The sequence below is a fragment of the Homo sapiens genome, chromosome 17, assembly GCF_000001405.40.
Source record: "Homo sapiens chromosome 17, GRCh38.p14 Primary Assembly".
Lineage (NCBI taxonomy): Eukaryota > Metazoa > Chordata > Mammalia > Primates > Hominidae > Homo > Homo sapiens.
In genome coordinates this window covers 67,623,309-67,642,841 of record NC_000017.11, presented here as the reverse complement: position 1 = coordinate 67,642,841, position 19,533 = coordinate 67,623,309, and the positions used below count along the sequence as shown (strand labels likewise).

General features: G+C 46.4%; 1 protein-coding gene across 3 annotated transcripts in view, besides 1 other annotated feature; it reads right to left on the bottom strand.

Moving 5' to 3' along the window:
• Positions 1-19,533, bottom strand: part of PITPNC1 (phosphatidylinositol transfer protein cytoplasmic 1) — a 319,976-nt gene that overhangs the window by 54,415 nt on the left and 246,028 nt on the right. For all 3 annotated transcript variants that reach the window (NM_181671.3, NM_012417.4, XM_047435746.1), the window contains exon 6: positions 10,604-10,699. In NM_181671.3, coding sequence (NP_858057.1) covers positions 10,604-10,699 — 96 coding nt within the window. The remainder of the gene's footprint in view (positions 1-10,603; positions 10,700-19,533) is intronic.
• Positions 2,560-2,746: a silencer, noted in NCBI's record as "fragment chr17:65636212-65636398 (GRCh37/hg19 assembly coordinates)". NCBI's record gives its function as "represses an EF-1alpha promoter that drives an FKBP-Casp9 reporter gene in an ReSE screen in K562 erythroleukemia cells {active_cell/tissue: K562}" and the evidence as "EXISTENCE:reporter gene assay evidence [ECO:0000049][PMID:32094911]".

Sequence of the window (19,533 nt, the reverse complement as noted above, 5' to 3'; positions counted from 1 at the left end):
TGAAAACTCTTTCTCTAGGATGAAGTTGGGCACTATCATTTTTTGTAGTAATCCCAGTAAAAATGGGGTTTGATCCAAATGCTGAGGTAGCTTCGCATTATTAGGCCAAGAGAACAGCAGTGGCTTTTAAAATCAGCACTAGGCACGGTGCTTCAGCGAGACTTGGCGTCTTATCTTTCCCGGGTTTGGAAGGAATGAGGTCTGAAAAAGAACACCTCATTGTTCCTTGGGAAGTGAGTTGCCATGCCAATTATTGGTCTGAAAATGGTGCAGCCAGGGTTGTTGAGAACTGGACTACTGTTTAACACCTTTTTATTTCCAAATGTTCCTATTCATTAATAAAATCTTATTGTTGTCAAGATGGCTGAGGGCAATTTGTTCATGAAAGGGGGTAGCAGAAGAGGGAAGGATGTAGGTTGATGGATTTGAAGGGTCCTAAACCTCTGGGCACCCAGGAGCTTGCCCTCACCATCCCCACAAGACAGTCAGCCCCTCTGGTGAGGTCACAGGTAGAGTCCCCTTGCACGGTTGCTGATAACCCCTGCTTTTTCTTTTTTCTTGGCCAACGGAATTTTTTATTTTTGGTGACCCCTGCTTTGAAGACTCTCTGCGACCTGCAGAATAAAGTCCAAATTCATTGACTTGGTACTCAATGTTTTTCCCTTGTGCCTCACTGACCCTTGACCATGCACTGAGACTCCTCATTTTCAGCCATTCACTACACTGTCCATTCCATCTCACACATCTTCAGACCTGAGTTTGCTCCCATCCAAGTGTGAGTCAGGGGCAATTTAATGTAGCCGCAGGGTGTGGGCAATTTTGTTATATCTAGGAAAATCTCAACCCATATGTCCATTGACTCAACACTTTCACTTTTAGATTTATTCTACAGAGACGTTAGAACAACTCTCAAAATATATCTATGGCTGTTTCTTGCAGTACCATAATAAGAATGGAAACACCCTAAATGTCCATCAAATGGAGAATGATGTACACATGGCACCACCGTACACTCGCTTATTATTATTATTATTATTATTATTATTATTATTATTATTTTGAGGTAGGGTCTTGCTCTGCTGCCCGGGATCTCAGCTCACTGCAGCAGCCTCCGACTCCTGGGCTCAAGTGATCCTCTTCCCTCAGTCTCCAGAGTAGCTGGTACTCCAGGCATGTGCCATCACACCCGGCTAATTTTTGTATTTTTTATAGAGATGGGGTTTTGCCATGTTGCCTAGGTGGGTCTGGAACTTCTGACCTTAAGCGATCTGCCTGCCTTGGCCTCCCAAAGTGCTGGGATTACAGGCGTGAGCCACTGAACCTGGCCTTCACTGGCATATTATCCGGCCACCTAAAACTCACTAGACAGGCGTGTGCTGCACAGAAAAATGGCAAGCTTATGTGGTTAGTGAAATAATGCATGTTGCGAGATGGTGTGCATAGTGTGAGTTTAGTTTTATAAAATAATACTATTTATGCATTATGTTTAAGTATAAACACCAACTTTAACAGCGATGTCTGTGATGAGGGATCATAGGAGATTTGCTCTGTTTTGTGTTTGTATCATGTCGGAATTTTTTTTACAAGGATCATGTATTAATTTATGAGCAAAAAATAAACATAAACCTATTATGTTTTTAAGGCCCAGCTCAGATTCCATCTCTGCTGTAAAGTCTTCCCTGACTAGTCCTGGGAATCCTCTGAGGATGACTATGTGTACAAGTTTGAGGAAAGTAGATCACACATGACTGTGTGAATGTATTTCTCTTGCTGCCTTGCTCCGTACTGTCACTTAGCATTTGTGTCATTATACCATATCCTCCCAACCAGATCATGGGTTTCTTTTTTTTTTGAGACAGGGTCTGGCCCTGTCACCCAGCCTGGACTGCAATGGTGTGATCTCAGCTCACTGCAACCTTTGCCTTCCGGGTTCAAACGATTCTCCTGCCTCAGCCTCCGGAGTAGCTGGGGTTACAGGCATGTGCCACCACACCCGGCTAATTTTTTGTATTTTAGTAGAGATGGGTTTTCACCATGTTGTCCTGGCTGGTCTCGAACTCCTGAGCTCAGGCAATCTGCCTGCCTCGGCCTCCCAAAGTGCTAGGATTACAGGTGTGAGCCACTGTGCCCGGCCTCTTTTTTTTTTTTTTTTTTTTCTTTTTCAACAGAGTCTCGCTCTGTCACCCAGGCTGGAGTACAGTGGCACCATCTTTGGCTCACTGCAAGCTTCGCCTCCTGGGTTCAAGTGATTCTCCTGCCTCAGCCTCCTGAGTAGCTGGGATTACAGGTGCCCGCCACCATACGTGGCTAATTTTTGTATTTTTAGTAGAGATGGAGTTTCACCATGTTGGCCAGGCTGGTCTCGAACTCCTGACCTCAAGTGATCCGCCTGCCTCGGCCTCCCAAAGTGCTGGGATTACAGGTGTGGACCACTGTGCCTGGCCTTCTCTCTCAATTTCTAACAGCACTGGCATCATCCAGACCCTGGAAGGGGAGAGGGCTCAGGGCCCGCGATGCGGCAGCTGCTGAGGACCCTTCTCTTGTGTCTCCTTTGCAGGCTTCCTCCCTCTCCCTCCAGTTTTAGAGGCTCCCACCAGGGACCCCTTTGGCAGCAGGGACTTCTCCCCATCCCAGTGATGTCATCAAGTCCTCTTATTTTCCAAGAAGCATGCAGGCCCCAGTAAGTTGGAACCCACTGCAAAACAGCTGCGTTACTCTCAGAAAGAAACAGATGGACTTGAGGGAAACGGGAAAAAAAAAAAGATAATAACAGCACAACCAAGTGAACTTAACGATGTACCCCGGCATGAGGCAGCTGTGTTAAATCTGGCCATTAGAGGTAACGGAAAATCTTTACCACCCTCAAAGGCCAAGATGTAGACCAGAATGAAAATATTTTTCATTTGAGGGAGCCGAGTGATTTGGATGAAGCTCTTTGTACCGAAGGGTACAGCTAAATATGACAATATTTACTTAGTTGATCTCTCTGTTCCCTTTCTGAGGGCCGGTCCTTAGCAAACAACATTTAATCTCTCACCCTTGACAGTTATTGGAAAAGCTAGATGTATCTCCTTTTGTTCTGTTCTCTCTCCCTTAACAGAGAATTCAACAGATATTTAGATCTGTGGGGACCAATGAACTGGCTGCCAAGGAGTTCTTGGTCCAGGAAGGCTATGACCCAGGGACCTGGAGACTTAGTCACCCAACTTAAGGGGAAAGTTCAAAATCAAATTCTGTCTGAAAAACATTTAATTATGCCACGTCAGGGGCCCATGCTTCTAGGACAGCCTCATGTTATTCTTTCTCCTTTGTTGCTATCTGAGTACAAACAATTGCAAATTTCCCCTATTCAACTTACTATGCTGTATTTATCACTAGTAAGATGGCCTTTATATCCTCCAAAATAAAGGGGATGAGAAATTGCTTCATCTGTAACAAGATGATCAATTCAAAAGGCAGTAGAAGACAGGACCTTTGAGGGCTGACATAATCTTGTTTTTGTACCCTCAATGCTTAGTGTGGAGCTGGCACTCAGTAGGTGCTTAGTAAATGCTAACTAAAGGAATTCATTAATGAGTCTTGATACCAGTAGGTTTTACTAAGTTTTCTTTCCTTGGATTGGTCCATGTCAGGGTTTATTGATCTTGGCATACTTGACATTTTGGAGCTGGATAATTCTCTGTTGTGGTGCAGTTTGGATTCTTTTCTTTTCTTTTTTAGAGACAGGGTCTCGCTCTGTTTCCCAGGCTGGAGTGCAGTGGCATGATCATGGCTCACTGCAGCCTCAAACGTCTGGGCTCAAGTGATCCTCTCATCTCAGCTTCCTGAGTAGCTAGGACTATAGGCACATGCTACTATGCCCAGAGAATTTATTTTTATTTTTATTTTTTTTTTGTAGAAATAGGGTCTTGCTGTGTGGCTCCGGCTGTTCTTGAAATCCTGGCCTCAAGTGATCCTCCCGCCTCAGCCTCCCCCAAAGTGCTGGGATTACAGGTGTGAGCCACTGCACCTGGCCCATTTTGGATGTTCAGTAGCCTCCCTGACCTCTACCGACTGGATTCATAACATGCCGTATCCACTTTCATCAATCAAAAATGTCTCCAGATATTGCCAGATGGCCCTGAGGGACAAATTTGCCTGTAGTTGAGAACCTCTGGGCTAGAGACTCCTTTGCTTTTCATTACATGAATCAATGAAGATTTAAAAAAGGAAGCACACACACACAAAACCCTCTACTTCTACTTCCTTGACTAGGAAAGACATTCCTTTTTCTTTCCCTTCCTTTGCCCTGGAGGTATGTCTGAAGATTGAGAAGCTGCACGCGCCCTACACATTTGTGTCTAGGGGAGATTGCTGCAGGTGGCAGCCCCCAGGAGGCCAGTATAGATGCCATTTTCTTTGGTCACTCCCCATCTCATGATGGAAGCCAGACCTCAGGAACTACTGCAGTGAATGGAGGAGAAAGTACTGGACTTGAACTTGACTAGAAGCCAATATCAAAGGCCTCTGGGTTAGATCTCTCCCAGCATGGCTTTCAGATTCTCCAGCCTGGGCTAGTCCTGCAGGCTAGAAGTTGAGGTTTGTTCTTGCACCCCAAAACTGCCAACTCAGCCTTGCGGGTATGGCCGCACTGCCTGTGGCCTCTGCAGGCATGCTCCAACTTATCGTGCAGAGTTCCTCATTCCTCCGCTGGGATCTTCACCTTGAAATCTTGGCAGAGCATCAAGGAGCTGGGATGAAAATCTTGGCAGCGGCAAGACACTATGTATCAGCCACATAACCAGTCCAACCTGCTCAGCTTTTGGCTTCACCCCTTTTCCTGCTTTGGTGTTGATGATGGTCATTTTACATGTGACATGGTGCAAACAGCTTTATGACTCTTATGGGCGGGCAGGGTCTCAGTGGTCTGTGTGACTAATGGAGGGGCTCTCTCTGCCTGAAAAAAATCACACTAATTCCTCCCCCACCCCCACCCCACAATACGGCACTGCCCTGCAGAGTCCATTAATGACTATGAGAACAAACTTGAAGCTAAGAGGTTTTTGAGAGCTGAAGTTCAGGCCCTAACAGGAAACAGCAACACAGCAAAAATGAGAATAAGGAAAGCACAGAGCTGGGCTATCAGCTGGTCCTGAATCCCCAAAGCATGCTTCTGAGTCCCCGGTTAGTGGCGATGGCACGAGGGCCATCGGGCAGAGGGCACCCAGTGGAAAACTCCAAGCTCTGGTCACCTTCATGAGAGAGGCAGTCTTGATTGTGTGGCTCAAAGGTTTCCAGGGAGAAATGGAAAAAGAAAGGAAAGTGCTTTCATCCCCTCCTTTGGCCTGGATGGCCGTGTGTGTGTGCAACAGTAGCTGAGTGGAGAGGAGCAACCCAGATAACCCTGGTCTGGGTTCATCAGCATCAAAAAAATCCAGGAACAGATTCGGCCCATCAGCATCCGGCTTCCTCACATAAAGAGCGTTTCTATTTAGGACGCTGACATCGTCAACTTACAAAGATGGATGGGAAGAAAAGGCCCATGGAGCTGGATGCCTCCGATTAAAAAAAAAAAGGAACTCTGATTCACAACTGCTTGCTTAATGGCAACGAATTCATTTTCTTTGATAGCGGTTGCTCTGAAATTGTCACTGCTGGAAGAAAAAAAGCAAAGTCCCTTGCCTTCACTCATTCATTCAGCAACCATTGAGTGAGCGCCTGCTAAGCACTGGTGCTGTGGCAGCGGCTGGGAAAGAGCCAGCTCTTGTCTTCGCAGAGCTCATGCCATAGTGATGAGCTAGCATAACCTAGCATGATCTAGAAGCCACGGACCAGAACTTTGCTGCCTCCAGACCAGCAGTGGTGGGGGCATGCCCAGGAAAACTCAGAAAGGGGGAGTCCTGTGTGAGCTGAACTCTAAAGGAGGGCCAGTGAGGGGTTTCAAGCAAAGAACAAGGTCAGATTTCATTTTAGAAGGAAACTCCTGTGGTGGGGTGGAGGGTGTTAATTATCTACAGTGTGCCAGTTAGACATTTGTTTGGAAATGGTTTGCCTTCTGAATCGGTTGTTCCTCTTATTCCCAGTCCCTGGTGTGTTTACAGTAGACACAACCACCAAAACAGCCCAGGAAACTCACCCCTCTTCCTTTGGGTGGGTTCAGACTGCAGTCTGTATTCTGGCCTGTTGAAGGTGATGGGGCTGGGGTTACGAGGGAGTCGCCCCTGGGGGAATGCTTTTTCTAAGATTTTATTGCAGGCTCCCAGTGGTACCTATAGCCCTTTGTGGTCCGGCTGCCAGGTCCACGGAGGAGGAATTCCACCTGTTCCAGATGCCAGCAGATCCCCTGGGAGGTCACACAATGGATGATGAATGTGCAGGGCTCAGCCCTATGGGGCCCCTTCTCCCGCATCCATTTAGTAACCGTAAGACTCCAGGGCGGGCCAGGGGTGGCCCTGAGCGTCAAAGCTGAATCCAGAGTTCCATCCATCTTCAATCACCTCTTCCTGTAGAACAAGGCTTCCCAGCCTTGGCACTATGGACATTTGGAGCCAGATAATGCTTTTTTTTTTTTTTTTTTTTTTGAAACGGAGTCTCGCACTGTCGCCTGGGCTGGAGTGCAGTAGCGCAATCTCGGCCTCCTGGGTTCAAGTGATTCTCCTGCCTCAGCCTCACGAGTAGATGGAATTACAGGCACCTACCACCATGGCCGGCTAATTTTTTGAATTTTTAGAAGAAACGAGGTTTCACCATGTTGGCCAGGCTGGTCTTGAACTCCTGACCTTGTGATTCACCTGCCTCGGCCTCCCAAAGTGCTGGGATTATAGGCGTGAGCCACCGCGCCCAGCTGGAGCCAGATAATTCTTTGTTGTGAGGGGCTTTCTGTGCTGTAGAGGATTTTAGCAGTATCCCTGGCCTCTACACTCTAGATACCAGTAGCACCTCCTATGTTTTGACAACCAAGAATGTCTATAGGCATTGCCAAGCATCCTCGTGAGGCAATAATCACCCCCAGTTGAGAACTGCTCCAGCGGACAGTTTTCCATTCTCTTCCTACTCGATCTCTTGGCAGCATTCAGCACCTCTGGTCACTCTCCTCCTCTTGAAACTTGCATTCCTTGGTGCATTTCTGTGTTTTCCTCCTAACTTTCTGGCCAATTCTTTTAGACTCCTGATTCTTTTAGATTCAACCTGATCTCCATATGCTGCCATCCTTGAAGGCTCAGACTTGAACCCCTTTCCCATTTATATTTCATGCTTTCTTCCTCTCATCCATCCCCAGGATTTTTAAATCTCCTATTCGCCAAATACTCTCAAATTGGTCTCCCAGATCTCTCACCTAAGCTCCAGACTCATTTCTGTCTGTGTTAGATGCCTCACTGACATCACAAAATCCACTCATCTTTCTCCAACGTATACCTCTCTTCTCACCTTCCCATTTCAGTAAGCAGCACCCCCATCTATCAGTTGCCCAAGCCAGAATCCTTAAGGCCATCCCAATTCCTCCTTCAACCTCATCCCCACATCCAATCCATGAGCAATCCCTGTCAACTCATCTTCAAAATATACCTCCAAACCATCTGCTCCTGTCCATCTCTGCCACCAGCCCTCTAGCGCAAGCCACGACAGAACCTAAGTAACCGACAATATAAATCACAATAGTGACCTTGGTGGTCTCCTGACTCTGTTCTTCTCCAGTCCATTCTCCATCCAGAACAATATTTTAAAAGCATAATTTAGATCCTATGACACCTCAGCTTCATTTATTATTTATTATTATTTTTTTTGAGACCGAGTCTCTGTTGCCCAGGCTGGATTGCAGTGGTGCCATCTCGGCTCACTGTAACCACCGCCTCCTGGGTTCAACCTCAGCCTCCTGAGTCGCTGGGACTTCAAGTGATTCTCCTGCCTCAGTCTTCTGAGTAGCCGGGACTAAAGGCGCATGCCACCATGCCCGGGCAATTTTTATATTTTTAGTAGAGTTGGGGTTTCATTCTGTTGGCCAGGCTGGTCTCAAACTCCTGACCTCAGGTGATCTGCCTGCCTCGGCCTCCCAAAATGCTGGGATTACAGGCGTGAGGCACTGCGCCCGGCCTGAAATGTCATTTTTTCCATAGCATGTCTCCTGATCCTATCCTCTTAAATTCAGTTTCCTTATCACAGTCTCTCCCCGTACCTGCCTTCCTGCACGTGTGACTCTGAACTCCATATGTATCTGTGTGACTATTTCTCTACTGTTCGCCAAATACTCTCTGCGTGGTATTTGTTAGATTGGAAGTGTCCTGAAGGGAGGGACCCTAAGCATCTCTTTGGCTCATTGCTGTTTTTTTTTGAGACAGTTTCTCACTCTGTTGTGATCTCAGCTCATTGCAGCCTCCACTTCCCAGGTTCAAGCGATTCTCATGCGTCAGCCTCCCGAGTAGCTGACCACCCTGCCGGCTAATTTTTGTATTTTTAGTAGAGTTTTTGCCATGTTGATCAGGCTGGTCTCGAACTCCTGAACTCAAGTGAGCCGCCTGCCTTGGCCTCCCAAAGTGCTGGGATTACAGGCGTGAGGCACCATGCCCAGACATCCCCATCTTAACATTGTATGTGACACTCAGTGAGGACTCCATAAATATTTATTGGATGAATAATTACTGGACTCTTTACCACTCATCTCCTTGGCCAAGCTGCATCCAGGGAAGAATACTCTAGGACCCAGGGAAGGAGGTACGGACGTGCCCATGAGTGACCCTGTGAAGCATGAAGGAAAAGCTCCTCGAATGTCTGTGTGAATGAAAGGAAGCTTTCTAGTGGAGGTTCTTTGGGGGCACAGAGCACAGGGAAATGAGTCAGGCACGTTGACTAGAAATGAGACTTGATTTCTTCATTAATATTCTATATTTGTATCAAGACTTCCTACTGAATCAGGAGGGAACTCCCTGAAGTCCAGGCAGAGCCACGCCAAAGCACACTGGGAGGAAAAGCTGAAATTAGTTCAGAGTTTTCTGGCAACCCTGCTTTCCTGGAAGGCCCAGAGCTCCCAAAGAGGCCGGGAGGTCCAGGTAGGACAGCAGCCCGGGGGGGCCCGAGGCGTCACAGGAGTGCTTTGCACAATGCTCTGCGCATCATCAGAGCCCCATTAAGCACTGGCGGACTTGACATGAAACTATAGGATTTCTGTGGAGTGAGACAAGGGGAAGGTCAGTGGCCCTGTTTATTTCCCTCTTCGGCGGGTCCACAGTTACGTAGGGAGCGTTTAACTTTCTTTATCTTAAAATGCATAGGTGTGGTTGGCCACAGAGCATAATGAAAGCTGATGATGTTAAAACGCTCACCCTTTGGGTGGAGATGAGCAACACAGAGTGATCCACATCAGCCTCTCCCCAGCCCTTTCAGGGACAGCAGCTGAACATAAGCGCCTGCAATTAAGCAGCCGAGCATTTGCTAAGATCAGGTAAGACTTTTATACCGAAATGAACCCCAAAATGTGGAGGCAAAAGAAATCTGAACCACGTCGGGAGCCTGGTTTATTTGCGTAACGACAGAATTCATTTTGAATAAGTTTATTTATTGTGTCTCCCATCAGCCTTGATGACTCTGGGAGAAGAGTTTCAAGGTCCACGTGTTACGGCTCAAGGACGAGTCTGGGGCCCTGATTCCAAACATATTGGGATTGGTGGCATGTCGCTAACCAACAAAAATAGCCCTGCATCTGCTGTCATTGCAGGGCTGGGATGTTATTTACAAGTGGGTCACCCAAGTTCCGTCAGCAGCCATTAATAAAATACTAATGGGATATAAATGGTGACTTGCACAAACCGTATAACAAGAAGGTAGAACTAAGGCAAAGGATGGATCCTGGTAGGTTGAAAACCAGACAGAAAGAAGTTCTCTGAAATTTATTCTCAGCCAAGAACAAAGGAGATGTCCTCATTAAGGTGCTTGCTGTTTTGAGAGAAAGGAGCTGTGCTGGAATGAGCTATCAAAGTTTTCAAGGATTGATTCAGATACAAATAAAACACAGGTGGCTCATGCCTGTAATCCCAGTGCTTTGGGAGGCCAAGGTGGGCTGATCATTTGAGATCAGAAGTTGGAGACCAGCCTGGCCAACAGGGTGAAACCCCATCTCTACTAAAAATACAAAAATTAGCCAGGTATGGTGGTGGGCGCCTGTAATCCCACATACTCAGGAGGCTGAGGCAGGAGAATGGCTTGAACCTGGGAGGCAGATGCCACAGTGAGATCACACCACCACACTCCAGCCTGGGCGAGACTCCATCTCAAAAAAAAAAAAGAAAAAAAAAAAAAAAAGAGCGCATGTAATTGGGGAGACTGTTGTTTTTCAGCAAGGCCAGTGTGTTGGATGGTCCAGCCCTATGGATACTGACGTTGCCAAAAATGATGGCAGAGTTGGGAGACAGGAAAACTAAGTGGAGATTGAGTAACAGCCAGGGCCAATGATGGTCCCTGAAGAGTTAGAGACTTAATTTTGAGACTTGCAAAAAGAACCAGCAAGATACGAAAGCAAATTGAATCCACACGACGAGAGATGGCATCCTCCCAAGTTAGGAGGCACTTAAGAAATAGTTGTGGAATGAATGAATGAATGAATCTTCCACATCTCATCCCAACTGTTGCTTACCTCAGATTCTTTGTAGTAGCGCTCTGGAATTTCATCGCAGGCAATATCAATAAAGCAAACTTCTCTCTCCACGTCTTTGGCTTCATTGTCGAAAATCTGAAAAAGCAGAGCAACATATCAAAGGTTAGTGATAGCAGGTGTTACCCTCCAAAGTGCCCGAGGCAGAATAACCCCCACACAGAGCATCTTCACACGTCTCAGGGCCCCCGGCTAGTGCTTTCACCAGCCTCAGAATGCGCAAGAATCATAGAAGGCTTTGATTCATGGCTTTGGTTTTGTCACATCAGAGGCAGGTGTAGCATCAATCACTGCTTGGTGAGAGGTAGAAGAAAAACTGGGCTGTTTTTAGGAGTTCAAGAGTGAGGAAATTAATCTCTTCCAAAAAAAAAAAATCTCTTCCCAAACTGAAGTCTGCTGATTTTTGGCAGTTCACCTGAACAGGAGGAGTAAAGAGGTTGGAAAGGGTCTGGCTAAATTTGAGTCAAAAAGCAGGGATATAGGCCAAGAGTTAGAAAAGTGTGTGTTTTTTAAAATTAAAATTATATATATGTTAAAAATATATATTTTATATATATATATATTTTTTTTTTTTTTTTTTTTTTTGGTTTTTGAGACGGAGTCTCACTCTTTCGCCCAAGCTGGACTGCAGTGGCGCTATCCCGGCTCACTGCAAGCTCCGCCTCTTGGGTTCATGCCATTCTCCTGCCTCAGCCTCCCGAGTAGCTGGGATTACAGGCGCCCACCACCACGCCCGGCTAATTTTTTGTATTTTTAGTAGAGACGGGGTTTCACCGTGTTAGCCAGGATGGTCTCGATCTCCTGACCTCGTGATCCGCCCGCCTCAGCCTCCCAAAGTGCTGGGATTACAGGCGTGAGCCACCGCGCCCGGCCATATATTTTTATATATATTTAGTTTCACAAATAAAACATGCTCATTGCAGAAAATATAGATAAGCAAAAATAAGAAAATAAACCACAATCTCATTATCCAGGGGAAACACACCTGTTTTTCTTGATCATTTAAGGGCACAATTTCCTTTGTACACATAAAGGTAACAAGGTAAAGCTTGGTAAGACACTGAGATGGTTTCCTGCCAATCTGCTCTAGGTTTCACTGGCCCAGAATGCACATCACTTGCAAAATAATAATAATAATAATAATAATAATAATAATAATAATAATAACAACAACAACAACACAGCCGCAATATATAGATATAAATGTCGGCCTGGGCTCAGTGGTTCATGCCTGTAATCGCAGCGCTTTGGGAGGCCGAGGTGGGCAGATCACTTGAGGTCAGGAGTTTGAGACCAGCTTGGCCAATATGGTGAAACCCTGTCTCTACCAAAAATACAAAAATTAGCCGGGCGTGATGCTGCACACCTGTAATCCCAGCTACTTGGGAGGCTGAGGCAGAAGAATCACTTGAACCCAGGAGGCAGAGGTTGCAGTGAGCCGAGATTGCGCCACTGCACTCCAGCCTGAGTGACAGAGTGAGACTGTCTCAAAAAAAAAAAAAAGTCTAAATTTCAGTGGAAAAATTAAGTTCTTCTAGTTCTTCTCACTGTCATTTTTCTGGTCTAAAGGGATAATCATCCTTCTGCAGGATGATAAACAGCTTTCTTTTTTTGAGACGGAGTCTCAAGGCTGGAATGAAGTGGTGGGATCTGAGCTCACTGCAATCTCCGCCTCCTGGGTTCAAGCCATTCTTCTGCCCCAGCCTCCTGAGTAGCTGGGACTACAGGTGCCCACCACCAAGCCCGGCCAATTTTTGTATTTTTAGTAGAGATGGGGGTTTCACCATGGTGGCCAGGCTGGTCTTGAACTCCTGACCTCAAGTGATCCATCCGCCTTGGCCTCCCAAAGTGCTGGGATTACAGGCGTGAGCCACCATGCCCGGCCAACAGATTTAAGTTTGGACAACCACTTCATTCTTAGAGGAAGTCTTAACTGTAGCCACATCCCACTGTTTAGCTCATTCCTGGAGGGAATCAACAGTTAACACTAATTACATCTGACTCTTCGGGAGAGAATGCAATATTTTGGAAGAACAGGGTGGTTGATACCCAAGAACACTGTCCTAACCCAAACTTGGTGCCTATTAACACAGTCTCCCACAAGAGGGCATCTGAAGGGCTCTTTATAGGCTCAACTCATCTCGGTTGGATTCTCAAGTTACTTGAAACGATTAGTCCTTTCTAAATGCTTTCTGAATAATATTTGTGTTGTAATTATCCTCCAAGTCGGCTGGTGGTTCTTCTCTTCTTGCCTATTCTTTTCTAAATATTTGGAGACTGGACTCTTCAGATTTGTCCAAGGAGATTAACTCCCTAGTCTGACCCGAGGTGGCCACTGACTTCTCCAAGTCAGAGAAAGATTGGTTCTTGGATTGGCTCTGATTCTTTCCACTGCTACTTGAAGTCAAGTGCTTCAGGACACTCCTAAAGCATTTGGGAGGGACAAGTGAACTGCCTCGAAATGAAACAGACAGTGGAGAAACAAGTTCAAGTTCAAGTGGAGAAATAAGTTGTGAAATAAAATACTGGGTCTCACACTGTTTGCGAGAGCCAGTCCCCCCCGCTCCTTCTTTCTTTCTGCAAATCTCTTTTAAGTATGAGCTAAGAGAAGAGAGACACATGCCTCATTAAGAAGACACACAGAGGCCAGGCACAGTGGCTCACACCTGTAAGCCCAGCACTTCGGGAGGCTGATGTCGGGCGGGTTGGGGGAGGTGGATTACTTGAGGCTGGGAGTTCAAGACCAGCCTGGCCAACATGATGAGATGGAGAAACCCCGTCCCTACTGGGCATGTTGGCATGTGCCTGTAATCCCAGCTACTTGGGAGCCTGAGGCAGGAGAATCACTTGAACCTGGGAGGTGGACATTGCAGTGAGCCGAGATCGTGCCACTGCACTCCAGCCTGGTCGACAGAGTGAGACTCTGTCTCAAAAACAACAACAACAACAAAAACCACACACACACACACACACACACACACAGAATACCCCAGAGGGAAATGAGCTTCCAGAGAGTAAATTACAAAAGTAGTTAAAAAGGTTTGACATTTATTGGTGGCAAAATCTACAGGACTCAAAGAAAGGGAACTAAGCACGGATGAAGGGGGGGCATGACAGGTTATGTAGCTTTCTCCGATTTAATTCAAACATTTTATTGATCCCTCATTGCACCCATTGCAGTTTTCATAGTATTGCCTTAGCTCCAAAGTCGCCCTTATGCCTCTGCTCTGAGATCATGGACTGGACCCTGTAAGCATTTCTCCTTTACAGTGAGCCTCATCAGTAGGGGGCCCTAAAGGGCCACTGCAAGAGGAAGGGGATTTCTTCAGATTTGGATGTTGTTGGGCTGCAGAGTGTGCCTGTGGGGACTTTCGGTCATGCTCTGCCCCAGCTGCAAGCCTGGAGTGCATAGTTGCTCAGTGACCTTGCAGCCCTAGCCTGGGCCCAGTAACCACTTCACGGTGGCCCTCCTGCTGCAGGCACTGCGTGCTGCAGGCCTTGCACTGGCAGCGTGCCCCGACTCTCTCTCCACACACACCCCTGTCCACCAACCTCCTCTGGCCTGCACCCCAGAGGGCGCTCTGCTGCTCAACCACTGTGAACCAGCCCTGGCTCAGGTCAACCTCGTGAACTTCCCCACCATCCTGCTTCTCCAATGAAGTCTGAACCCCAGCCATGCAGAGAGGCCCCTGCCAAGTTTGTCCTTCCTGGGTATTCTCTCTCAGCCTTAGGGTATCCTTTGGAGTTCCCTTTACATCCTTATAGTTGCTCCCATCAGAGATCAATAATTCCTTCTATTACATTTCTCCTATTCAAATTACTGCATGGTTTCTATCTCCTGATTGGGCCCTGACTGATACACCCATTGCATACAAAGTGCTGCCCTGGGCTTGAGGGACTACAAAGATAGCCCTTGAGAGGTTACCATCTAGTAGGAGAGACAGACTGGGGAGCTATCACCAAAAATACAAGGCAGAATGGAGTATGTGCTGCAAAAGAAAGAAAAGAATAGGCTGTCAGCTGGCCGCAGTGGCTTACACCTGTAATCCCAGCACTTAGGGAGGCCAAGGCGGGTGGATGGCTTGAGGTCAGGAGTTCGAGACCAGCTTGGTCCACATGGTGAAACCCCAGCCGGGTGTGGTGGCACATGCCTGTGAACCCTGGTACTCAGGAGACTGAGGCATGAGAATCGCTTGAACTCGGGAGGCAGAGATTGCAGTGAGCCGAGATTGTGCCACTGCACTCCAGCCTGGGCGACACAGTGAGACGCCATCTCAAAAAAAAAAAAAACAAAAAAGAAGAAGAAGAAAAAGAAAAGAATAGGCTGTAAAACTAGGGAAGGGAACTATTAATGTTGCTTTAAGAACATTATGCCCATATTAATATTATTCCTGCTTTTCAGATGAGAAAACCAAGGCTGAAAGAAGTAAAGAGGCTTGCTCAAAGTCACATGGCCAGTCAGCAGAGAAGCTCAGACTGGAGGGCAAGTCTGTAGGCTTCACCAGGTCCTTCCATGATTAAAACAAACAAACAAAAACAAAACCGCCTCTTAGCATCCAACCGCTAAGATAAACATCAATCAAAACTGCTACCTGCATCTTTCTAGAAAGAAAAATTCAGAATCTGAGTCTCCTGCTACTTAAAAAGTGTGTGTCCTGAGAAACTGTCACTGAGAACCTCCCAGCAACATGGGAGTCTTCTGTTCCTCTGTTGAATAGCTAAGGCTGCAGTAGAAGCCACCAAGGCATCCTTTAGTCCAACCACTGGTCTCCTTCATTAACAGCGTGCCTAATTCTCATGCCAAAGTCCATGGAATAGCAAGCACGAGGAAGCTCCTTTACTTGAACTTTGTAGTAAATATTTCAGGGTGGGGTACCCACCATCTGAACAAATCACAAAAAATCACATTGAGGAACCCAACATCCTCTTCAGGCTTGAGATGATGAGTTTTAATTTCTTTTCTTTTTGAGATGAAGTCTCACTCTTGTCCCCCGGGCTGGAGTGCGATGGCACGATCTCGGCTCACTGCAACCTCTGCCACCTGGGTTCAAGCGATTCTCCTGCCTCAGCCCCCTGAGTAGCTGGGATTACAGGCGCCTGTCACCACGCCCGGCTAATTTTTGTATTTTTAGTAGAGATGGGGTTTTACCACCATATTGGCCAGGGTGGTCTAGAACTCAGATGGTCCACCCATCTTGGCCTCCCAAAGTGCTGGGATTACAGGCGAGTTTTAATTTCTAATAAATAATGAATCTCCCAGTGATTAGAGCTTAAGAGATGTTCATAGGTGCTCAATAAGTGCCTGGAGAACTAACAGAAGGCATTAGCATCTACTTTCCAAAGAGGACTCTATGGCAGGAATATTGCTTACTCATTGATCTTAGGTTTTTTTTTTTTTTTTCATGAGTCTGAGATCCTGTTTCCTTGGTTGTAAGCACCCTAATTTCCCACAATTGCTGCCACAGGGCTCAGTGCAGGGTGACAGCCTCCTACTATGGGCTGATGGGTCCTACATTGGCAATCAGGAGAGCTGAGTTTAAATTCAGTTATCTGGCCGGGCATGGTGGCTCACACCTGTAATCCCAGTACTTTGAGAGGCCAGGTGGGCAGATCACCTGAGGTCAGAAGTTTAAGACCAGCCTGGCCAACATGGTGAAACCCCATCTCTACTAAAAATACAAAAATTAGCTGGGTGTGGTGGCATGTGCCTGTAATCCCAGCTACTAGGGAGGCTGAGGCAGGAGAATTGCTTGAACCCAGGAGGTGGAGGCTGCAGTGAGCTGAGATACACCACTGCACTCCAGCCTGTGCGACAGGGCAAGACTTTGTCTCAAATAAATAAGTAAATTCAGTAAATTTTCTGTGTAACCTTGGGCTAATTCCTGCATGTTCTTTGGGCCTCCATGTCCTTGTTTGTAAATTAAAATCTTAGTCTAACTGGGAACAGCGGCTCATCCCTGTAATCCCAGCACTTTGGGAGGTCAAAGTGCAAGGATGGCTTAAGCCCAGGAGTTTGAGACCAGCCTGGGCAACATAGCAAGACCCTGTCTCTATAAAAATTACAAAAATTAGTTGGGCGTGGTGATGTGCACCTGTTGTCCCAGCTACTCAGGAGGCTGAGGCATGAGAATCTCTTGAGCCGAGAGGCAGAGGTTGCAGTGAGCCAAGATCACGCCACTACACTTCATCCTGGGCAACAGAGTGAGATCCTGTCTCAAAAAAAACCAAAACCAAAAAAAAAAACAACAAACAAACCACAACTTAGTCTAGATGAATGGGTTTCAGGGATTCTGGGAGACATCCTGAAATTTGAGAAGGCGTATTTTTCTGGAAAGAGAGTTCGACCACTTTCATCTGATCATCAGAGATCTGTGGCCCTAAGGAGACTGAGATCAAGTGACCCAGGTGACCATTAACATTCCTTTCAGTTAAAAAGCCTGTGGTGTTAAGAGTGGCCTCTGCGTCCTGTTAGTCTCCTCTGTCTTGCTCCTTGGCTTGTTCCTTCTCTGTCCTATCATCCCACAGTCAGCCAACTTGGGTGGTACATAGAGGGGCTGCCACGGAGCAGTGGGAAGTGGCAGCGGTCCTGATGTGGTGTAATTGGAGAGCAGGGACAAGGTGAAATGTTCTTATCGTCACACTCAGTTCAGGGCAGGAGCCAGAATTAAGCCAACACCATTAAAAACAAGCAGTGGCTTCACCGGGCCCCAAAGGAAAACACTCAGCCACAGCAATGATTCATTTGGGCTCCCCGGTGGTGGCAGGTGCAGCTGCCAGAGCTCTGGTACAACTCCCGGCTCTTGGAGGTGGAGGAAGAGATCTGCTGAGGTCACGTTAGGATGCGAATGCCTTTTGTTGTTGCATCAAGCCAAAGCTTTACAGGGGGGCACCTGACACTGGAGTGCTGTGAACTTCATGGTCTCGTTTGCTCCTTGGGCTGAATTTGTCTCCTGAGATGGGACCTGGGTGTGGGAGGTCACGGAGGCACTTTTCCTATATCACCTGTAATAATGTTCCTGTCTTTGGCTATTTATCAGAGACAGGGAGAAGGAAAAGTGTTTATCCTCTTTCCCTTCTACTTTCTACCCACAAATCATCTGCAGTGGATTTTGGTGTCAATCTGGTTGACTCCCGTGGCCACCCCCGCCATACACACACTAGAGAGTGAATAACTGCTCAGTAGGAAAAATTCCTTTAAATATGAACCTAGAAATGCTACATGGGGAAGGCAAATCTGAATAATTACCATGTTATAGATTCCAAAATTAAAAGGGAGTAATTTTCTCTTTTTTGTAAAGTATTAAGAATAATAAGTATCAAGTGTCTTACAAATCTTGATATACTTTGACCTAGTAAGCTTACATTTTGAGAATTTATCTTAAGAAAAGAATCTTGGTGGCCAGGCATGGTGGCTCACACCTGTAATCCCAGCACTTTTGGAAGGCCAAGACAGGTGGATCAGTTGAGGTCAGGAGTTTGAGACCAGCCTAGGCAACATGGCAAAACCCAGTCTCTATTAAAAAATACAAAAATCAGCTGGGCATATTGGCGGGTGCCTGTAGTCCAGCTACTCAAGAGCTGAGGCAGGAGAATCACTTAAATCCAGAAGGCAGAGGTTGCACTGAGCCAAGATTGCATGACAGAGCAAGACTCGGTATAAATAAAAAACAAAACAAAACAAAACAAACAAAAAAACAAAACAGAAAGAAAGAAAAGAATCTTGGCAAGGCACAGTGGCTCACACCCGTAATCCCAGCACTTTGTGAGGATGGCTTAAGCCCAGGAGTTTGAGACTAGCCTGGACAACATAGTGATACCTTGTCTCCACAAATAATTTAAAAATGAGCTGGGTGTGGTGGCATGGATCTGTGGTCTCAGCTACTCAGGAGGCTGAGGTGGGAGGACTGCTTGAGCCTAGGCAGTGGAGGCTGCAATGAGCCGTGAGTGTGCCACTGCATTCCAGCCTGGGTGACAGAGTGAAACCCTGAGGAAAAAAAAAAAAAAAAGAAAAGAAAGAAAGAAAAAGAAAATAATCTTAAAGGAAAAGACTTACGCACAAATATTTTTATTGCAACATTATTATAATGTCAAGAAAAATAAGATTGAAAAAGGAAGAAAACAGTTTAAATATCCTACTATGGGAGAATTGCCAAATAAATTAAGGTAAATCCATTTCATGAACTATTACGTGCTGTGTGGTGATAATTGAGTAGGGACAGGTACACTGATAAGCATGGAATGTGTCTTATCAGCCTAGATTTCTCTTTGAACAGAAGTGTTTTTCTAAATTTTGCAATTGCTCTTGCTTCATTTCTAGATTTGTTTCTAGATTTGGTGATTTCTCTAGATAAAATCCACCAAGATCACGATGTAGGGTGGCTCTTCATAAATCCACAATTTTGGGAATCATGAATTCTGCAGCTCTTTTCTCTACAACAGAAACTTTGATGGTTTAAGATCCAGGCTTAGATGAAAAATGTCTGTACTTTCTGCACAATTTTTCTGTAAACCTAAACTGCTCTAGAAAATAAAATCTAAGGTGGGCAAGGTGGCTCATGCCTGTAATCCCAGCACTTTGGGAGGCCAAGGCAGGTGGATCACCTGAGGTCAGGAGTTCCAGACCAGCCTGGTCAACATGATGAAACCCCGTCTCTACAAAAATACAGAAATTAGCTGGGCATGGTGGCGTATGCCTGTAGTCCCAGCTGCTCGGGAAGGCTCAGTGAGGCAGGAGAATCGTTTGAACCCGGGAGGTGGAGATTGCAGTGAGCCAAGATCACGCCATTGTACTACAGCCAGGGCAACACAGCAAGACTCCATCTCAGAAGAAAAAAGAAAAGAAAAGAAAAGAAAATCTATTATCCTCTAAAAATTGAAGGGCTGGGCAGGTGGTGGGGAAGGTGCAAGCCTAG